Genomic DNA, 16,391 nt, shown 5'->3' with positions numbered 1-16,391 from the left:
CCACTCTGCCCAAAGTCCAAGCTGGCAATTTCCAATTCACTCTTCTAACTCTTCCTTCCATGTGCACCCTCACAACCTCGGTTACCATCTTGGAGTCTGGGGGATCTGGCCCCAACTCCTGGCAAGCTCCCCATGTCTTGACAGAGCCCAGGGCCCATGGGGCAGCTTAGGATCACCCACCCAGCGCAATGGGGCCAGGCACAGGAGCAGTCTGGGAGTGGGCCAGGAGCAGGGCAGGGAACGGTCAAGGGGCATTCCCAGACCAGCTCTCAGCAAGCAAAACAACCTCCCGAGTTCATTTCTAGGCCCCAAACAGCGGGCACGTCCCCGGAACCCACTCTAGAATTATCGGGCAGCTTTGGAGAGTAACAGCATGGGAGAAATATTACCAATAGTGAATATTTATACAGCTCTCCCTCCGTGCAGGCGCCTTTCAAAGCACTTAGCATATATCAACTCATTTAAAATCCCCCTGGCAGATGCCAGGGCCAGGACCTAGAGGAGGTGGAGTCTGTAGGACGGGTCCGGCACAGCTCAGGAGACAGTGACACGGGTGTGTGTCTCTTGTGAGAACTCAGCCTGTACCAGGCCTGTTCCCAAAGTTCAAAAAGAATGAGTCCGCCTGAGCCTGGCTTCCACGCGGTACCCGCCTCCGGCGGTGGAAAGTACAGGCTTCCCCAAGAGGCCTGTGGGGGGTGCCAGCTTGTGGGTGGCCATGAGGTCAGACAGGGCACAGCTGGGCACCCGAACACTGCCTACACTCCCAGCCTTCTGGCAGCAGTTCCCTTAAGCCAGGCCCTCAGGACCCAGGCTGGGGAGCAGAGGAAGCAGCCACAGTAGGTCAGGCCTCAAGCTGCCCAGACAGAGCCTCCCCCCAGGACTGGGAATGGAGGGGCAGTGCTGGCAGACATGTTGGCAGTTCTGGGCTGGCCGGGAGGTCCCTGCCAGCCAGGTCCCCGAGGAAACACCCACAGCAGACAGCTGAGCCCACTCCCCCCATCGCATCCCTCCCACTGCTCACCACCCATGCAGCCCTGAGGCACAGTGGCCTAGGCCTGACGACCCCCATAACGTGGCCCTAGGACCCTGGGCACAGCCGGCCTCCCACTGACAACTCCACCTTTGGGTCCTGCTCAGCGACCTTGCGACTCCTGCACACAGGCGGACCCCGCAAAGCCTGTCACCTCCAGCACAGTCAGCTCCCAAGTGCTGGACCTGACCGGGGTAGTTGTGGGAGAAACCATCGCTCGAGGATGCTGGAGGTGGGGGCCGCCGCTTCAGTCCGGGCGCAGGGCTGGGGGATTGGGGGCGGAAACTTTCCGCAGAACTGTCCCGCTTGCTCACTCCAAGGGAACGGAGAGGATCCGGCTTCCCGCGAAAATCTGGTCCAGGGAAAGGGACCCCGGAAAGCAGCTCCGCAGGGCTGTGGCAGCCCCACCCCGACCCGCGCTGCGCCCACGTGCAGGGCCCGACCCCCTCCGGGAGGCGCGGCGCCGGCTGGGGTCAGGCGGCCGAGGACCCCGCGGCTCCCCGCCCCGCCCCGCCCCGCGGGCCCCCGCGCACCGCCGCCGCGTACTCACCCTCACGGGTGGAGCGGGGCGGGGCAGCACGGTTCCGCGCGCAGCTCCGATCCGCTAGGCGCACCGACCGGCGGCGCAGCGCTGGCGCGACGGCTCGACTCGGCCGGGTCCCTGTCCCGGGCGCGGGTCCGGCCTGGGAGCGGGCGAGTCCGCCTGCAGGGGAGGCGGGGACCCGGGCCCGGGTTGGGGGCGGGGAAGGGGCTGGACACGCTTGCGCACACGGCGGCCCGACTCCCAGGAGCTCCCGGGAGGGGTAGAAAGGGCGGGGTGGAGGAGGGGGAAGGGCGGGGGTGATGCCGCGCGGTCGCAGGCTTGGGATGGTGTTCGCGCCTCCGAGACCCGGACAGAGGCAAGCAGGGGCGCCGTGGGTGCCAGAGAGGCGGAAGAGGAGGCCTGATGGGGTGAGCACAGGGCCAGGGCAGGCACTGCCTGTGAATGGCGCCAGGGTGGGTATGCCCAGCGCAGCCAAGGCGCTCGCTCCCGGGAACAATGAGAATCAAGAAAGGGTGCAGTGCTCTATCCCACGGGGAACGGTGTCCTTCCCTCACTGGGGAAACTGGGGCAGGGTCCTGTTCCGGGAGCCTATGCTTCCCGTGCCCCATGCACGCAAGGCAGCCAGTCAGTCCCCTGGGCCCAGACGTGGGCCCTTCCTCTGCTTCGGTTGGGGCCTGCTGCCCCTAAACTGCTCTCTCTGCACCCCTCACTTGCATACTCTTTATCTTGGCCTCAGAAAGTTTCTCAGTTTCCTTTCCGTTATTGAAGGCGCCAGGCATCCTGTCTCCAGGAAGAAACCCCTGGGCCCCTGACCCTGGTTCTTTGGACCCAGGCATCCCCCCAAATAAACCTGGGAACTGCCCAGGCTGAAGAACAGTTCAGAAGTCACCCTACAGGACAATCCACAGCCCCTTAGGCCAGTCCCTTTCACAGGTCAGCACAGTGTTTCCGGAGCCCCACGTATCAACAGCCCAGTGCCGGGAGCGCCAGGGGCTCCAAGGAAACTATCAGACCCATTCCCTGTCCCCAGGAAGCTTACCATCCAGCGGCACAGAGAAGGCTCACCATGGACTCCATTCAAGAACGAGGCAGGATAGGATGTGAATAAGTGCAAGGTGTGAGTGACTGACAGTAAGTGCAAGGGGGTTCAGAGAAGTGGCAGCTCCAAGCCTGCTTCTGCTGAAGCTGGAGGGCTTATCTGTCAAGAACCCCCAACTCAGGAAGCTCTGCTCCAAGTGAGCTGAGTAAGGAGAGTCTGCCTCCAAGTTGTTCCTCTGCAGGTGACTGTGCTCCATGCTAAATCATTCCTTGCACGGGCAGAAGCTGTTTGGCATTGCACCAGTGTCTGATTTTGTTTGAATATGGTGCCTTTGGCTTAATCAGTCAGACATGCATTCAACAACTATTTATTTATTTATTTATTTATTTATTTATTTATTATTTTGAGACAGAGTCTCGCTCTGTCGCCAGGCTGGAGTGCACTGGCGTGATCTTGGCTCACTGCAACCTCTGCCTCCCGGGTTCAAGTGATTCTCCTGCCTCAGCCTCCCGAGTAGCTGGGACTACAGGCGCGTGCCACCATGCCCAGCTAATTTTTGTATTTTTAGTAGAGACGAGGTTTCACCATGCTGGCCAGGATGGTCTCGATCTCTTGACCTTATGATCCGCCCGCCTCGGCCTCCCAAAGTGTTGGGATTACAGGCGTGAGCCATTCAACAACTATTTATTGCATGCCATCTCCAGGCCTGGAATTAAGCTGGGTATAAAGAACACAATGACTAAGTCCCTGCCTCGGGCAAGTCGAGGAAGAGGGAAGAGCCTCCTTGTTCTACAGATGGGAAGACTGGCCCAAAGGGAGTAAGCAGCTGCCCTTCATAACTAAGTGAATCTGACAGAACTGATCCAAGCGTCAGCCCAGCCTCTAAACTTGGCCATTTGATGAACTAGATCTAAGCACAGTTTGCAGTTCTTGCCGTGAATCACGTAAATGTCACTCTACCAGAAAATGGAACTTAAGAACCAGCATTTGTTCCTGGAGACCTGAGTTCCAACTCTTGTCTCTGCCACTAAATAGCTTTAGTTTTCTTACTGGGGTGGGGGGAGGGGAAAGGAAATAACTGCTTATTCAAAGGGCTATTGTTGGCATTAAATCAGGCAATGGATGCGAATTTGGTCTGAAAGCATAACCTGCTATATATAAGTGTGTGCTGTTACTATGCAGGTGGCGTGCCTTTTCTAACCTATAAGCTGTATTCAGGCCTCTCCCCCAGCTTATCCCAAGCCTGGTTACTAGGTGCCCAGAAGCTAACCGTAATTCTGCTCCCCTCAGGTTAGGCCACAATGTGCTTACTCATGATGATCTTTTCCCTCCAGTTTCTTAACAGCATGGCCACAAGCTTAGCTCACTGCCTAGAAGCCATGTCATCTTTGGGGCAGGAGGGAAGCAATTCTGGTGCCTTTCTCCTCTTCTCTTCTCTCTTTTTCTTTCTTTCTTTTCTTCCTTCCTTCTTTCCTTCCTTCCTTTCTCTCTCTTCTTGTCTTTCCATCTTTCCTTCTCCTCTTCTTTCTTTTTCTTTCTTTCCTTTCTTCCTTCCTTCTTTCCTTCCTTCCTTTCTCTCTCTTTTTCTTGTCTTTCCATCTTTCTTTCTCCTCTTCTTTCTTTTTCTTTCCTTTCTTCCTTCCTTCTTTCCTTCCTTCCTTTCTCTCTCTTTTCTTGTCTTTCCATCTTTCCTTCTCCTCTTCTCTTTTTCTTTCTTTTTCTTCCTTCTTTCCTTCCTTGCTTTCTCTCTCTCTCTTCTTGTCTTTCCATCTTTCCTTCTCTTCTCTTTTTCTTTCTTTCCTTTCTTCCTTCCTTCTTTCCTTCGTTCCTTTCTCTCTCTCTTTTCTTGTCTTTCCATCTTTCCTTCTCCTCTTCTCTTTTCTTTCCTTTCTTCCTTCTTTCCTTCCTTCCTTTCTCTCTCTTTTCTTGTCTTTCCATCTTTCCTTCTCCTCTTCTTTCTTTTTCTTTCTTTTTTTTTCTTCCTTCCTTCTTTCCTTCCTTCCTCTCTCTCTCTCTTTTCTTGTCTTTCCATCTTTCCTTCTCCTCTTCTCTCCTCTCTCCTCTCCATGTGCTTTTTTGGCCCCAGGCCCCCCTTTGGTGCAACTACAACACATGATGAGCGGCTCAGCAAGAGGCAGTAGGATGGGATAAGCAGGGCTTTGGCCCATGGGGACTGTTTCTTTTGGATGTTAACTGTGCCAAAGTGGGACCAAGGCAACCAGAGGAACAACAGGTCTTAGTCCCCTTCCAAGCCATCAGTGCTGCCTCCATTCCCATTTCCTTTGCCTCCCAAACTCTCCTGTGTTTCTGCTTGGTGGAAGTGGCAGGACACCTCTGTGCTGGGGCAACCAGAGGGGCCTCAGGAGCAGAGGGAGGAGCAGGTGCATCTAGATCTGGGAAGCCCTGGCCCTGCGGCCCCTCTCTGGCAGGAGTGGGTGTGAGCAGCAGCGTGGAACAGCTCCTGTATCATGTGCCACGTTAGCATCCTGCCCACCAAGAGGAGGAAACAGCAAGATGTGTTTGAGGAAGAAATATACCCCATCCAGCATCTCAGATGATTTTAAAAATAGCAACTCCAGGATGGTATTTCAGCTCCTATTTTTATCAGATTTATATGGCTGGACCATGGAGCTGAGCTGTTCCCAGGGTTCTCAGTAGCAAGGGACATCACTCTTGTAGTGTTAGCTGAAATGCATTCCAGGAACCTGTAGGCTGAAAGAGATCCTGAGAAGTCATTGCACACAGCCCCTGCCTCTGTTTAGGACCACAGTCAGTTAACCACCAAAAGTTTACGGCTTTTTTCCTTGAAACCTCTTGGTTGGCCAGGAGTGTTGGCTCATGCCCGTAATCTCAGCACTTTGGGAGGCCGAGGTGGGTGGATCACCAGAAGTCGGAATTTCGAGACCAGCCTGGCCAACATGGTGAAACCCCATCTCTACTAAAAACACAAAAATTAACTGGGCGTGGTAGTGGGTGCCTGTAATCCCAGCTACTCAGGAGGCTGAGGCAGGAGAATCACTTGAACCCGGGAGGCGGAGGTTGCAGTGAGCCGAGATTGAGCCACTGCACTCCAGCCTGGCAACAGAGTGAGACTGTCTCAAAAAGTAAATAAATAGAAACTCTTGGTTCCATGCGTAGTCTAGCATTTTGTAGCACTTCTAATCACGAAGTTATTTTTAATATTTGTTTGGTCTGTTATACAAAATGTAGACTGGATGGCTTATAAACTACAGAAATCTCTCACAGTTCTGTAGGCTAGAAAGTCTAAGATGAAGATGCCAGCAGCCTGCTTCCTGGTTCATACAAGGTCATCTTCTCACTGTAACCTCACAGTGAGAGGAAGGGCCTAGGGGTGACTCTGGGATCTCTTTTATGAGGCACTAATCCCATTAATGGGGGCCCCCCACCCTCATGGCCTAATCACCTCCCAAAGGCCCCACGATTGCCTTGGGTGTTAGGATTTCCACATATGAATTTTAGGGGAACACAGACGTTCAGGCCATAGCAAATATCTTGCCCAAATATCTCTAGTTCCATCCTTTTGGTCACTCTCAGACCAGAACATTTACTGAGTGATTACTATGTCCCACAAAATTCTTATTTAACCCTCAGAAAAACCGTCTGGGGGAAGCATTGTTATCACTCCTATTTCATGAGCAGTTATGTAACTTGCCCCAGATAAGACTTGGTTATGGCACAGATTCTGTGTTGGAGCCTTCAGACCACTCTACTTCCCAAGCAGGGGAGGAACAGAACATTAAAGATTTTCTTGGCCTTGGCTTTCATTTCTTCATCGTGGTTCTGAAAGGAAAATTGGCTACAGTCTTAAATGTATGTGTGGGCCCACGCTAGAAGCTCAGCTCTCAGTGCCAGCCACACTGAGCCCTGGTCTCCCTAACTTCCGGGCCTTTACTCTGCTTGTCATTGGGCTGATAACCAAGATCCAGCCTAGAGCACAAGAAGACAAACGCTGCGTGATCTCGTGTGTAGAACCTAACAAAGTGGAACTCACAGAAGCAGAGAGTAGAATGGTGGTTGCCTGTTGGAATGGGGAGATGGTCAGAGAATGCAAACTTTCAGTTGGATGGGAGGAAGAAGTTCCAGAGATCTATTGTGCCACATGGTGACAATAGTTAATAACAATGTACTGGGCGGGGGGTGGTGGCCTACGCCTGTAATCCCAGCACTTTGGGAAGCTGAGGCAGACAGATCACTTGAGGTCAGGAGTTCTAGACCAGCTTGTCCAACATGGTGAAACCCCGTCTCTACTATAAAACTACAAAATTAGCCAGGTGTGGTGGTGTGCGCCTGTAATCTCAGCTACTTGGGAGGCTGAATCGCTTGAACCCAGGAGGTGGAGGTTGCAGTGAGTCGAGACTGCGCCACTGCCCTCCAGCCTGGGTGACACAGTGAGACTCTGTTTCAAAAAAACAAAAAAAGCAATGTACTGTATACTTGAAAATTGCTCACAGAGATTTTAAATGTTCTCACCATTACAAAATGATAAATATGTGACATAATGCATATGTTAATTAGCCCGATTTAGTGATTCCACAGTGTATACATATAACAAAACATGTTGTACACCATAAATGTATACTATTTTTATTTGCCAATTAAATATATTTTTTTAAAGTTTTAGCCTGCAGGTTTAGCTTTTTGGGGCTGAAGCCCCATAGCCCCCTCCACTTCAACACACTCATCAGCATTGTAATTACTTTGTAATTAATGCCTGTGTTCCTACTAAATTGTAAGCTCCACATGAGCTCTGCCTCCAGGTGCTTGCAAAAAAACCAAAAGGGGGTGGGGGTAGATGCTCAAAGCCTGTTTATTAAATTGTATTGAAATTGAAACGCTTGAAACAGATTTCATTCCTGCTTATTTTCTAACAGTGGTTAAAACTTGGTAACTTCAAGTTGACATGGATTTCAGAATTCAATGTAATTTCAATAATATTATAATAGAACAAACTTAGGGTTGCCAACATTTATTTTGCTAAGCAAGGCTATTTTAAAAACAACTATCAATAATTATCTTATTTTAAAAAATACATTTTAACCTTATATATACATGTTTGGAATAAAAACAGTCCTTCCTGAGAAGGAAGAGTTGGCAGACCTACATCAATAAAATAAATATATTCAAATGCTTTGGATATGGAAGTATTACAAGAGAAACATTTTCAAGTATTACTTCGTATGTAGTTGTTTCTTATTTCTCAGTTCGGGGATCTGTATTCAACAGGGACATGGAATATGGAGCCTGAGATGGTATTTTTCTGTTTCATGTTGGTAAATAGAGACCACTCAGCAATTTTGCTCTATTAGGAAAGTTTGAGACAAATGGAGAGAAGCCAAGGAACAATAGCAGTCATGCCTCCAACTGCTTCTTTCCTTCTCCAACCAAGCCAGAAAGAATGTAGGCCAAGTGTTGAGGGCTAAAAGCCAGTCGTGGAGCCGTCCAGGATTTATCTAGGAAGGGTGACATCTGCCACTGCTCCAGCAGAGCGGGGGCATGGCATGCTTCTGAGGGCACACAGTTCAACACATGAGGCACTCTGCAGCACACAGGACCAAGGTGTCATGCTGCCAGAGGGGCTGGCATTTGCCATTTTGTCAAGGCAGGGCTGCAGCTTGTGGCTTGCTCAGGACAGAAGGATGTTGGGCTCTTACGAGATAGCAGGAAGAAAGCATGAGGTAGAGGGGCTGGTCCTTACTCTCCATCCCCTGCGTGAGATCCAGGAGGCCTCATTCAGAGCCTAGCTCTGGTCCTCCATTCGCCACATGTTTTTTGAGCACTTATAGGTGAGTCACCACCCTAGGTTCTGGGGAAATGGTGAACAAAGGGCCAGAAGTCTCTGCTTCCTGGAGCTGACGTTCACTCCATAATGCTGGACAAGACATCCTGAGCCCATTTCTTCGTAAAAAGGAAGGAGAATGTGGGTCATGAAATGATCTGCTATATGAATGTAGTGTTATAATGTTGCTTTGTCTCAAAGGTTGGTTTGCTGAGCCAGGTAGTGTCTTAGGGGCCAGGGATAGAGAGATAACTAAAACAAAGCTCCTACCCTCAAGACCCTCTCAGTCTAGTGAGGAAAGCGGAGAAACTCACAAATAGGAATAAAAGGAGGCACTATATTGCAAAGCTATCATCTTGAGTTACCTGGGAGTCTGATATGAAGGTCACCCTAATAAAGACAGACTATGCTTTTGGAGTCTCAACAGGACTTGGCAGAGCAGCCAACCCTGGTGCACTCTAGACCTTGAGGGTGATAAGCCCAAAGAGGGTTGGATTGAGGGAGGGAGCTGCATGGGGGCCGTGGCCGGCAGGGTCCCTGGAGATTACAGCAGCAGAGCACTGGCTGGCTCTGAAGGGGAACCCTTGCCAGGCCTCTAGCAGAGGCTTGTCTTTCCATGTACAAGAAAAGTTAAGTGGTGAGGCCTGGAGAGGGGCCCCCTTCTGTACTGTGGTGAAGATAAACGAGGCTGGGAGAGGAGTGAGGGGACGCTATCCCAGAGAGGCTCCTCCCCACAGAGTGGGCAGAAGGAAGACAGAACTGGCCAGCCCCTCGGGGGAGTCGAGAAACCTTCCAGAGTGTGGGTCCCTGTCTCCATGCCCTGCCTCTCCAGACCTGAGTGCCTGCCCTCTGCTGTGACTGCCAGCCTCGTCTGTCCTGTTGGGTGAACTCTGTCCCATCTCTCTTGCCCCTCAAACATTTATTTATCCGGTGTCAAATTCCTACCCACCTTCCTCCAGGGGCCAGGCGCTACGAGATGAGGGGAAGGAACGGCAAGGTCAGCGGGAGCCCGTGGAGTCAGACCCTCCAGCAGCACCACTGGGGGCTGGGCAGGAGGGCATGGGCTGAGGCCACAGGGAAGGGCTGCTCCACAGGGAGGCCTCCCTCTGCTCCGTGGCAGTTGTGGTGCTGGAGATGGAGACCGTGTTTGCTTGTTGGGACCACATCTGCTTTCAGAGGGGAAGCGGGTCACTTCTTTCCCCTGGACCTGGAATGGGCACAACTGAGACGCAGGGAGCATTCCTGCAAGCTGGACACTGCTCTGGGAGAAGACCTCCATCCAACCTCCTGCCAAGACCCCAGCAGCTGCCAGTGTCACTGCCCACAAAAGTATTTGCTTAGCCCAAGAAGGAGTCAGTCAGATGTGTGGTGGCCATGAAATGGATCCTGCTGATTCTCTGTCAGACCTCCCTGCATTGGTCACTACCTCAAAGTTCCTTGGCTGCAACTCCATGTTGCCTGAATCTAGGGACTGTTGACGTATTGCAGGGGCTGGGCGCGGTGGCTCACGCCTGGAATCCCAGCACTTTGGGAGGCCGAGATGGGTGGATCACCTGAGGCCAGGAGTTGGAGACCAGCCTGGCCAACATGGTGAAACCCCGTCTCTACTAAAAATACAAAAATTAGCTGGGCATGGGGGCGCACCCCTGTAGTCCCAGCTACTCAGGAGGCTGAGGCAGGAGAATCACTTGAACCCAGGAGGCAGAGGTTGCAGTGAGTCGAGATTGTGCCACTGCACTCCAGCCTGGGTGATGGAGCGAGATTGTCTCAAAAAAAAAAAAAAAAAAAAGAGCTGCAGGGAAGAATGGCTGAGTGGAGGCCAGTGGCTTCATTGTGCCTCATCTGAACTCCCTGAAGGCTGAAGCAGGTCCCTGAGGCTTTCTGACCACACCCTCCACTCCCCGGCTGTTTCTATTTTTTTAATTTTTTTTTCTGAGAGGGAGTCTTGCTCTGTCACCCAGGCCAAAGTGCGGTGGCTCACGGCAACCTCCGCCTCCCGGGTTCAAGGGATTCTCCTGCTTCAGCCTCCCAAGTAGGTGGGATTATAGGAGCCCACCACCACACCTGGCTAATTTTTCTGTTTTTTAGTAGAGATGGGTTTCACCATGTTCGTGATTCTGCTGTTTCTAAGGAGTCTCTCCCAGGACCATGGGGGTCCACAGCAGGCCCTGAGACCCTGAAGCAGGTTGGCTGCACCTGGGCTACCACCTGCAGTAAAGGGGCTAATCTCTGAATGAGGCTTCCTGGTTCTCAGGCAGGGGATGGAGAGTAAGGACCACCCACTGTGCCTCAAGCTTCCCCCCTGCTGTCACTTAGGAGCCTGCCATCCTGCCATCCCTGAGAGCTTCCCAAGCAAGGCACAAAATCCACAGCCCTACTCTGACAAAGTGGCAAACACCAGCCCCTCTGGCAGCATGATGCCTTGGTCCTGTGTGCTGGAGAGAGCCTGTGTGTTTACTTGTGTGCCCGCCCATACAAGCCATGTCCCTGCGCCGCTTGAGCCCTGTTGGCTGCCTAACTGCTCATCAGCCTCTGACGCTTTGAGGTCCCTTCCTGGTCTCAAGATCCTCTGAACATCTGCCTCTGATAGGCCTTGAACCCGAGCCGCCTCCGGGCTTTTGTATTCAACTGCAACCATATCATTTGCCCTTGCTGATTCACTGTTTTGCACTTGATCTTCTGGCTGCTTCATGTGAGTCTGTTTTGTCTTCCTGCCGAGATAAAAACTCAAGGCTGGGGACTCGCTGACCAAATAACAGAGCAAGGCAGGCTTTTCGGCCTTGCATAATCTGATTCTTATTAAAACCCGCCGATTTCCAGGCACCAAGCCCCTATCCTCGTCAACAAGAAGTTTATCAGCAGGGTTGACTGACTCACAGGGAGGTGTGACCTCACTGCTGGAAGGAGGAAGTGCCATCAGAAACCTGTATAGATAATTTCCTGAAAGCTTCCAAGTTTGGTTTTTTGGGGAACTCCTCAAAGGAGAGGTGGATGGCAGGGGAAGGAGGAGGGGTGATGGGGAGGAGCAGAATAAGAAGTTGTACAAACAGGAGAGGCACAGAGTGGGGAGAAGGAAGCCACCACGGACGGTGAGCCCTGGGGCTTGGAGAAGGCCCTCGGCACCCTTCCAGGGCAGCTCCCACCTGTCAGTTGAAACCACCACCTGGAGACTTTCCACCATTCTCAAGGCCTTCCCACAGGTTCTACCCACCCACTGTCCCCCACCATCTGTCTGCCTCCCAGGCCACGCTGTCCACACTGAGTGAGCCCGCTAGTTTATTCAATACTAGGAATAAGCCGGTATAAAATACATTTTTAGAAAATTCACTTGGAGATAAAAAATCTTGTCCCCACTCCTCCCCCAATCCCACACATCTGTGCTCTTCTGCCTGAGTTAATTCAGCTTTGCTGAGCCTCCTGCAAGAGCTTGAGCAGGGGGTCGTCAGCCCTGAGGGCGAAGGTGAGCGTGCGCTGCTGGTAGTGCCTAGGGTCACACTCCAAGTTCTCGATCACCTCAGCCAGCAGGTGGGCCCGCTCCACGCCTGAGCCGGGGGCCTCGAAGCCCAGGGCGGTGAAGTGCACATGCAGGTGGTAGTAGGAGGGCAGGTAGTGCAGGTATACTCGCAGATGGTCTCCCTTCATCCGGTAGCGCTGCAGGATGGCCTCCTGATGAGACAGGGGCAGGCAGGTCAGGAGTCACCGTGCTGCCTGAGGCCCGGCGCCATGTCCCCACCTAGACCCTCCTCCCATCTGAATCCTGGATTGGCCTGGGACAGCTCACAAAAACCCTCCAAACAGCTCTCTACCTGCTGTCTGCTTCAGCTTCCTCTGTCTTCTAGTCTAGGAAATCCACAAGTGCAGGTGACAGCAGCAAAGCTGAGACTCTCCCAAAAGAAGTGGGGAGCGGCCTCAATCAGCATTCCCCACCCCAACGTGGAAAAAACACTGGCTTCCTCAAACAGTTGCTGCTGGGAATCTTGGAAGGCCCAGTGTCTACAGACAGGCCCCAGATTCCCAAGACTATGGGGACTTTCATGATTTAGAAGCATTTCATCAGTCATGAAGTGGATGGGAGGAAGCCTCATTCTCTCTTTTAGCATAGCACAGGGTGGAGCTTGGAAACAATGAAGTTGGGGATGGGGCTATGCTGAGAACTTGGTGAAAGAGCAGGGACTGTGGAAGGGGTATGGGAGGGGCTGCTCCCACACAGACCTGGCGAAGTCTCAGCGGGCTCCTTGCAGAAGAGGAAAGCATTGACTTTGGCCCTGGCTCCCTTTGCCCACCTCCACCTTGCTCAGGGGTGGGTCTTTTTCTACCAACCTCCACCTTCAGGAGGCTGTGAGGCATAGAATTAAGCGGAGACTCTCATCTCCATTGTGGGCAAATCCCTGAGGTGGTCAGAGGTGAAGAGAAAAGTACTAGGGCCTCAGTGGGCTCAGTATATACCCCAGAACTGTGTTCTGCATTTGGAGCTCACCCCAGGAATCCCTGCAGCGGGGCGAGACCAGGGCCAAGGCACCCGAGGGGCTTCCTGGAGTAAGTGAGGTCTGTCTGCCAGGGTGGAGCTGTCTGAGCTGCTAGGGCAGGTCAAAGTGTTGGCCTGGCATCTCCCCAAGAGAAAGACACCATTCTTTGCCATTTGTAATATCCAGAGACTGCTTCAGGATCTGAACAAGTCACCCCACAAAGATAAAGGCAGCCAAGGGGTGGTGCCGTGGGTGAGCAGGAGGGAAGATAGATCGGGGCCCAGCAGCAGGGGAAGCTGGGTATGGGCAGAGCCTTGCCTCCAGGTCTGCATTAACACCTCGAAGCATCACTGGTCAAAAAGGGGCAAACCTCTCTCCTGGCTGGGCATCGTTGTGACTGCTAGCTCTGGCGTGTTAGGCAGAGCATCACATTTCAGAGTGGAAAAAAGACTCAGACCCAGCCCCTTAGGATGGTGGATTTAGAAGGGATCCATCTAGATAATGTGGTTTAGGGAGGTGAAGTGACCTGCCCCAGGCCACTCAGCTGGTTAGGGTCCAAATGTCAGGCCAGGACCACACCCAAGATTCTAGACACTCTTCCCCCATCTCCCCGTGCTCCTGGGCTCTGTTTAGAGCCCCGATAATTTCATTCAATTCAACAAATATCCCAGAGAGAAAGTATCCCAGAACACCAGGTGCTACAGAATTCAGCCTGTCTTCAATCTAGACAAGGAGACACACGTGTACACACATATCGAAGTCATGTGCCCATACTCCCAAGAAACTCTGGCATGATGTGGTTGTCATGGTTGTCATGAGAGAGACAGGTGATCCTGGAGTAGGAGGGGCCAGGACTTAAGGACCAGAGTCTATGGGGTGAGGGGTGGAAGTGCATCCCAGATGGAGAAAGGCCGAGGAAGGCGTGTGAGGGTGAGGAAAGGTGGCAGGACCAGGGACAAAGAGCCCTGCTCTTCAACCTCAAGAGCCTAATGGGGTCCCCAAGACTGGCATCCAGAGAGAAGTCTCTCCAAGATGGACTCTGGGAAAGGTGAGGAAAGGGGCCCAGGAACACACTGGAATCTGAGTCTAATTTCTCTGAGCTTCCACGTGGTTTGGTGAAGCCACTCACCTGCCCCTGGTGGAGGATGTTCCTGAGCAGCGGCAAGTGCTCCGGAGTAAGGTCGCGTAGGGATCTGATGCCCCGGCGATGGCAGATGGCGATCAAGTACAAGTCATCGAGCTGCGTAGAGAGCAAGGGGAGACCAGGCTCAGCAGGGAACAGACCTGGGGAGGCTGCCAACCCTGGAGTTCTCACGTAAGCCAGGAAGCACCCACCCCTGAGGCCTACAGCACCAGGAGAAACCCCGCAGGGCATCTGCATACCCCGGGCGTGTGGGATGGTCTTAAGGAGCAGGCCTACTGTGTACGCTTCTTGCTAGAGAATACCATGTGAGAGTCCTTTTTTTTTTTTTTTTTTTTGACAGAGTCTCGCTCTGTCGCCCAGGCTGGAGTGCAGTGGCGCAATCTTGGCTCACTGCAACCTCCGCCTCCTGGGTTCAAGCGATTCTTCTGCCTCAGCCTCCCAAGTAGCTGGGACTACAGGTGCGTGCCACCATGCTCTTTATATTTTTAGTAGAGATGGGGTTTCACCATATTGGCCAGGCTGGTCTCAAACTCCTGACTTCATGATCCGCCTGCCTCGGCCTCCCAAAGTGCTGGGATTACAGGCGTGAGCCACCGCGCCCAGCAGAGAGTTCTATATGCTCACTCCCCAGAGCTGTCGGGGCAGGGAGCCAGGAGGTTCAAGAAAGAGCAAGGGCAACTCTCTCCCTCCGAGAGTTTACAGTCTTATCGCATGTATGCAAGTAGCTCTACTGTAAGACACAAAATAATCCCAGTGCAGGAGGAAGGAAAGACTCTAGCTACCTGGATGAACCCAGGAAGGCCTCCTGGAAGAGAAGGCAGAGGATCAGGTCTAGAAAAAAGGTAGAATTTGGAGAAAGGGTATTCAGGTAGAGGAAACAGAGCAAAGACTCGGAGGCAAGAATGTATAGGGCATAGAATGTATACGGAAGGGGAGAGGAAGCAACTTGATTTGTTTGGAGTCAAGGCCCATGAAGGGGTGGAGTGGGGTCTGAAGGCTGAGAAGGGAGCCAAGGGCCAGCTCAGCAGCACACACAACACCAGGGCAGTTAGCTTGTTTCTCTCTTCCCCTATCGCACAGGATACCTTCCTGCTGTCCTTCCTGAGCACAACCTGGCTGAAAACCTGGAGGTCACAACAGTACAAAGAATCAAAGTCAAGATCTTGTGCCAGAGAGCAAATGAACTCTTCCTCTTGCTGAGAAAACCCACCCTGCTCACCTAAACCCTGGCCTTGCCTGGTAATTCCATCCATGCGCCTGGAAGGCCCCAGACATCAAGGCTCTGAGGGGCCAGGCACGGGGAGAACCCAGCAGTGCCCTGCCCTGCAGTCTGAGCTACCAGATTCCTTGTGAAGATAATTTGAGGACCATGACTCACCCAACCACATTTCCTGGGGCCTCAAATTGAAAATTCAGGATGGGCTTTTCTATATGACTGGCTGATATCCAACTATGCCATGGTCTTTACATGCCATGAACATTCTTTCCTGCCAGAGTTCTAAGAATCTGTGTTCTCTGCCTTAGACCTTCTGCAGATGAGCCCACAGGAAGCTCCACGTGTAGCTGAGCTACATGCACCAGGCCTCAGTTTGCCCCAAGTCCCCTGTGTACTCTCTCATGGCCTGTGGCCAAGAAATGTATTCTCTCACTTTGGACTTAGGAGTCCAAAGAGAAGCCCAGAAACAAAATTGCTTGAACTTGAATTTGTGTGCGTGCGCACGTGTGCACGTGGTGGTGAAGGTGTATGTTTTCGGCTGTTCTATGCGTCACTGTCACCAAACTCCCAAATAATAGTAACATTTGTTTAGATGATGTCTGCTGACAAATCACAAACACGACGCTAACTCGCAACTCTCTGCTCCACTGGCACAGAATAGGGCATGGAGCCTGGTGCTGGGTGTCAGCCCATGGTGTTGGGTGTCAGTTCACAGGCTGGGTAAGGGAGGGAAAATAATCCATTCTTTGATATTAGACATGACCCAAAATTTCCTGCTGGCAGCCAAAGGCCTCCTCGCTCAGAGAAGTCATCTGAAAAAAGCTAGCCCAGGGGCAGGAAAGGGCCTCAGGCTGGCGCCCCAGAAGGTGGCCCATCAGTCACTCTGGGAAGACAGATAGACATCGTCAGTCTCTTTTTACAAGTCAAGACAGTAAAATCAAAGTAATAGTTTCCTGGCAGGAAGAAAGAGAATTGCTGGAGCGTTGGAGAGCCATCTCTTAACCTCTGGGGTGACTCAAAGGAAGAGTTGCCTGGTCTGAGAACTTTAGACCAAAGAATTTAAATCATGTGAACTGAAAATGCATGTGTATCCATATATACATGTACATATATGTTTATATACCCAATATAGAAAGGTTACCAGAGACAAAGAAA

The 16,391-nt window shown here is 52.2% G+C and overlaps 2 protein-coding genes and 1 long non-coding RNA gene across 12 annotated transcripts in view, besides 5 other annotated features; 1 reads left to right on the top strand and 2 right to left on the bottom strand.

The window, feature by feature from the left end:
* Positions 1 to 1,737, bottom strand: part of ST3GAL4 (ST3 beta-galactoside alpha-2,3-sialyltransferase 4) — a 58,953-nt gene extending 57,216 nt beyond the window's left edge. For 5 of the 9 annotated variants that reach the window (NR_145671.2, NM_001348396.2, NM_001254757.2 and 2 more), the window contains exon 1: positions 1,581 to 1,737. The gene's annotated coding sequence lies outside the window, so the exon portion shown is untranslated. Of the gene's footprint in view, positions 1 to 1,120; positions 1,412 to 1,580 lie in introns of those variants that run through there. The other 4 variants (NM_001348397.2, XM_047427426.1, NM_001348399.2 and 1 more) reach the window with 1 other exon arrangement.
* Positions 616 to 1,359: an enhancer, noted in NCBI's record as "H3K27ac-H3K4me1 hESC enhancer chr11:126225959-126226702 (GRCh37/hg19 assembly coordinates)". NCBI's record gives its function as "activates a minimal SCP1, AML or CMV promoter by ChIP-STARR-seq in naive H9 embryonic stem cells {active_cell/tissue: H9 hESC(naive)}" and the evidence as "EXISTENCE:reporter gene assay evidence [ECO:0000049][PMID:30033119]".
* Positions 779 to 928: an enhancer, noted in NCBI's record as "active region_5709". NCBI's record gives its function as "activates an Ori minimal core promoter by ATAC-STARR-seq in GM12878 lymphoblastoid cells {active_cell/tissue: GM12878}" and the evidence as "EXISTENCE:reporter gene assay evidence [ECO:0000049][PMID:35858748]".
* Positions 1,360 to 2,101: an enhancer, noted in NCBI's record as "H3K27ac-H3K4me1 hESC enhancer chr11:126225217-126225958 (GRCh37/hg19 assembly coordinates)". NCBI's record gives its function as "activates a minimal SCP1, AML or CMV promoter by ChIP-STARR-seq in naive H9 embryonic stem cells {active_cell/tissue: H9 hESC(naive)}" and the evidence as "EXISTENCE:reporter gene assay evidence [ECO:0000049][PMID:30033119]".
* Positions 1,519 to 1,898: a silencer, noted in NCBI's record as "silent region_4050". NCBI's record gives its function as "represses an Ori minimal core promoter by ATAC-STARR-seq in GM12878 lymphoblastoid cells {active_cell/tissue: GM12878}" and the evidence as "EXISTENCE:reporter gene assay evidence [ECO:0000049][PMID:35858748]".
* Positions 1,836 to 15,707, top strand: GSEC (G-quadruplex forming sequence containing lncRNA). Its single transcript, NR_033839.1, has 2 exons — positions 1,836 to 1,981; positions 15,101 to 15,707. It is a non-coding gene; the product is annotated as a G-quadruplex forming sequence containing lncRNA (long non-coding RNA).
* Positions 2,102 to 2,845: an enhancer, noted in NCBI's record as "H3K27ac hESC enhancer chr11:126224473-126225216 (GRCh37/hg19 assembly coordinates)". NCBI's record gives its function as "activates a minimal SCP1, AML or CMV promoter by ChIP-STARR-seq in naive and primed H9 embryonic stem cells {active_cell/tissue: H9 hESC(naive and primed)}" and the evidence as "EXISTENCE:reporter gene assay evidence [ECO:0000049][PMID:30033119]".
* The window catches only part of DCPS (decapping enzyme, scavenger), a 45,946-nt gene continuing 36,972 nt past the window's right edge, over positions 7,418 to 16,391 (bottom strand). For both annotated transcript variants that reach the window (NM_001350236.2, NM_014026.6), the window contains exons 5-6: positions 14,006 to 14,116; positions 7,418 to 12,076 (exon numbers count right to left, since the gene is read on the bottom strand). In NM_001350236.2, the coding sequence (NP_001337165.1) occupies positions 11,810 to 12,076; positions 14,006 to 14,116 (378 nt within the window). In that variant the 3' untranslated portion in view covers positions 7,418 to 11,809. The remainder of the gene's footprint in view (positions 12,077 to 14,005; positions 14,117 to 16,391) is intronic.

The sequence above is a fragment of the Homo sapiens genome, chromosome 11 (genome assembly GCF_000001405.40).
Source record: "Homo sapiens chromosome 11, GRCh38.p14 Primary Assembly".
In the NCBI taxonomy this organism is placed as follows: domain Eukaryota; kingdom Metazoa; phylum Chordata; class Mammalia; order Primates; family Hominidae; genus Homo; species Homo sapiens.
Note: the sequence above shows the minus strand (reverse complement) of the source record. Positions and strands in the feature narration are given on the sequence as shown.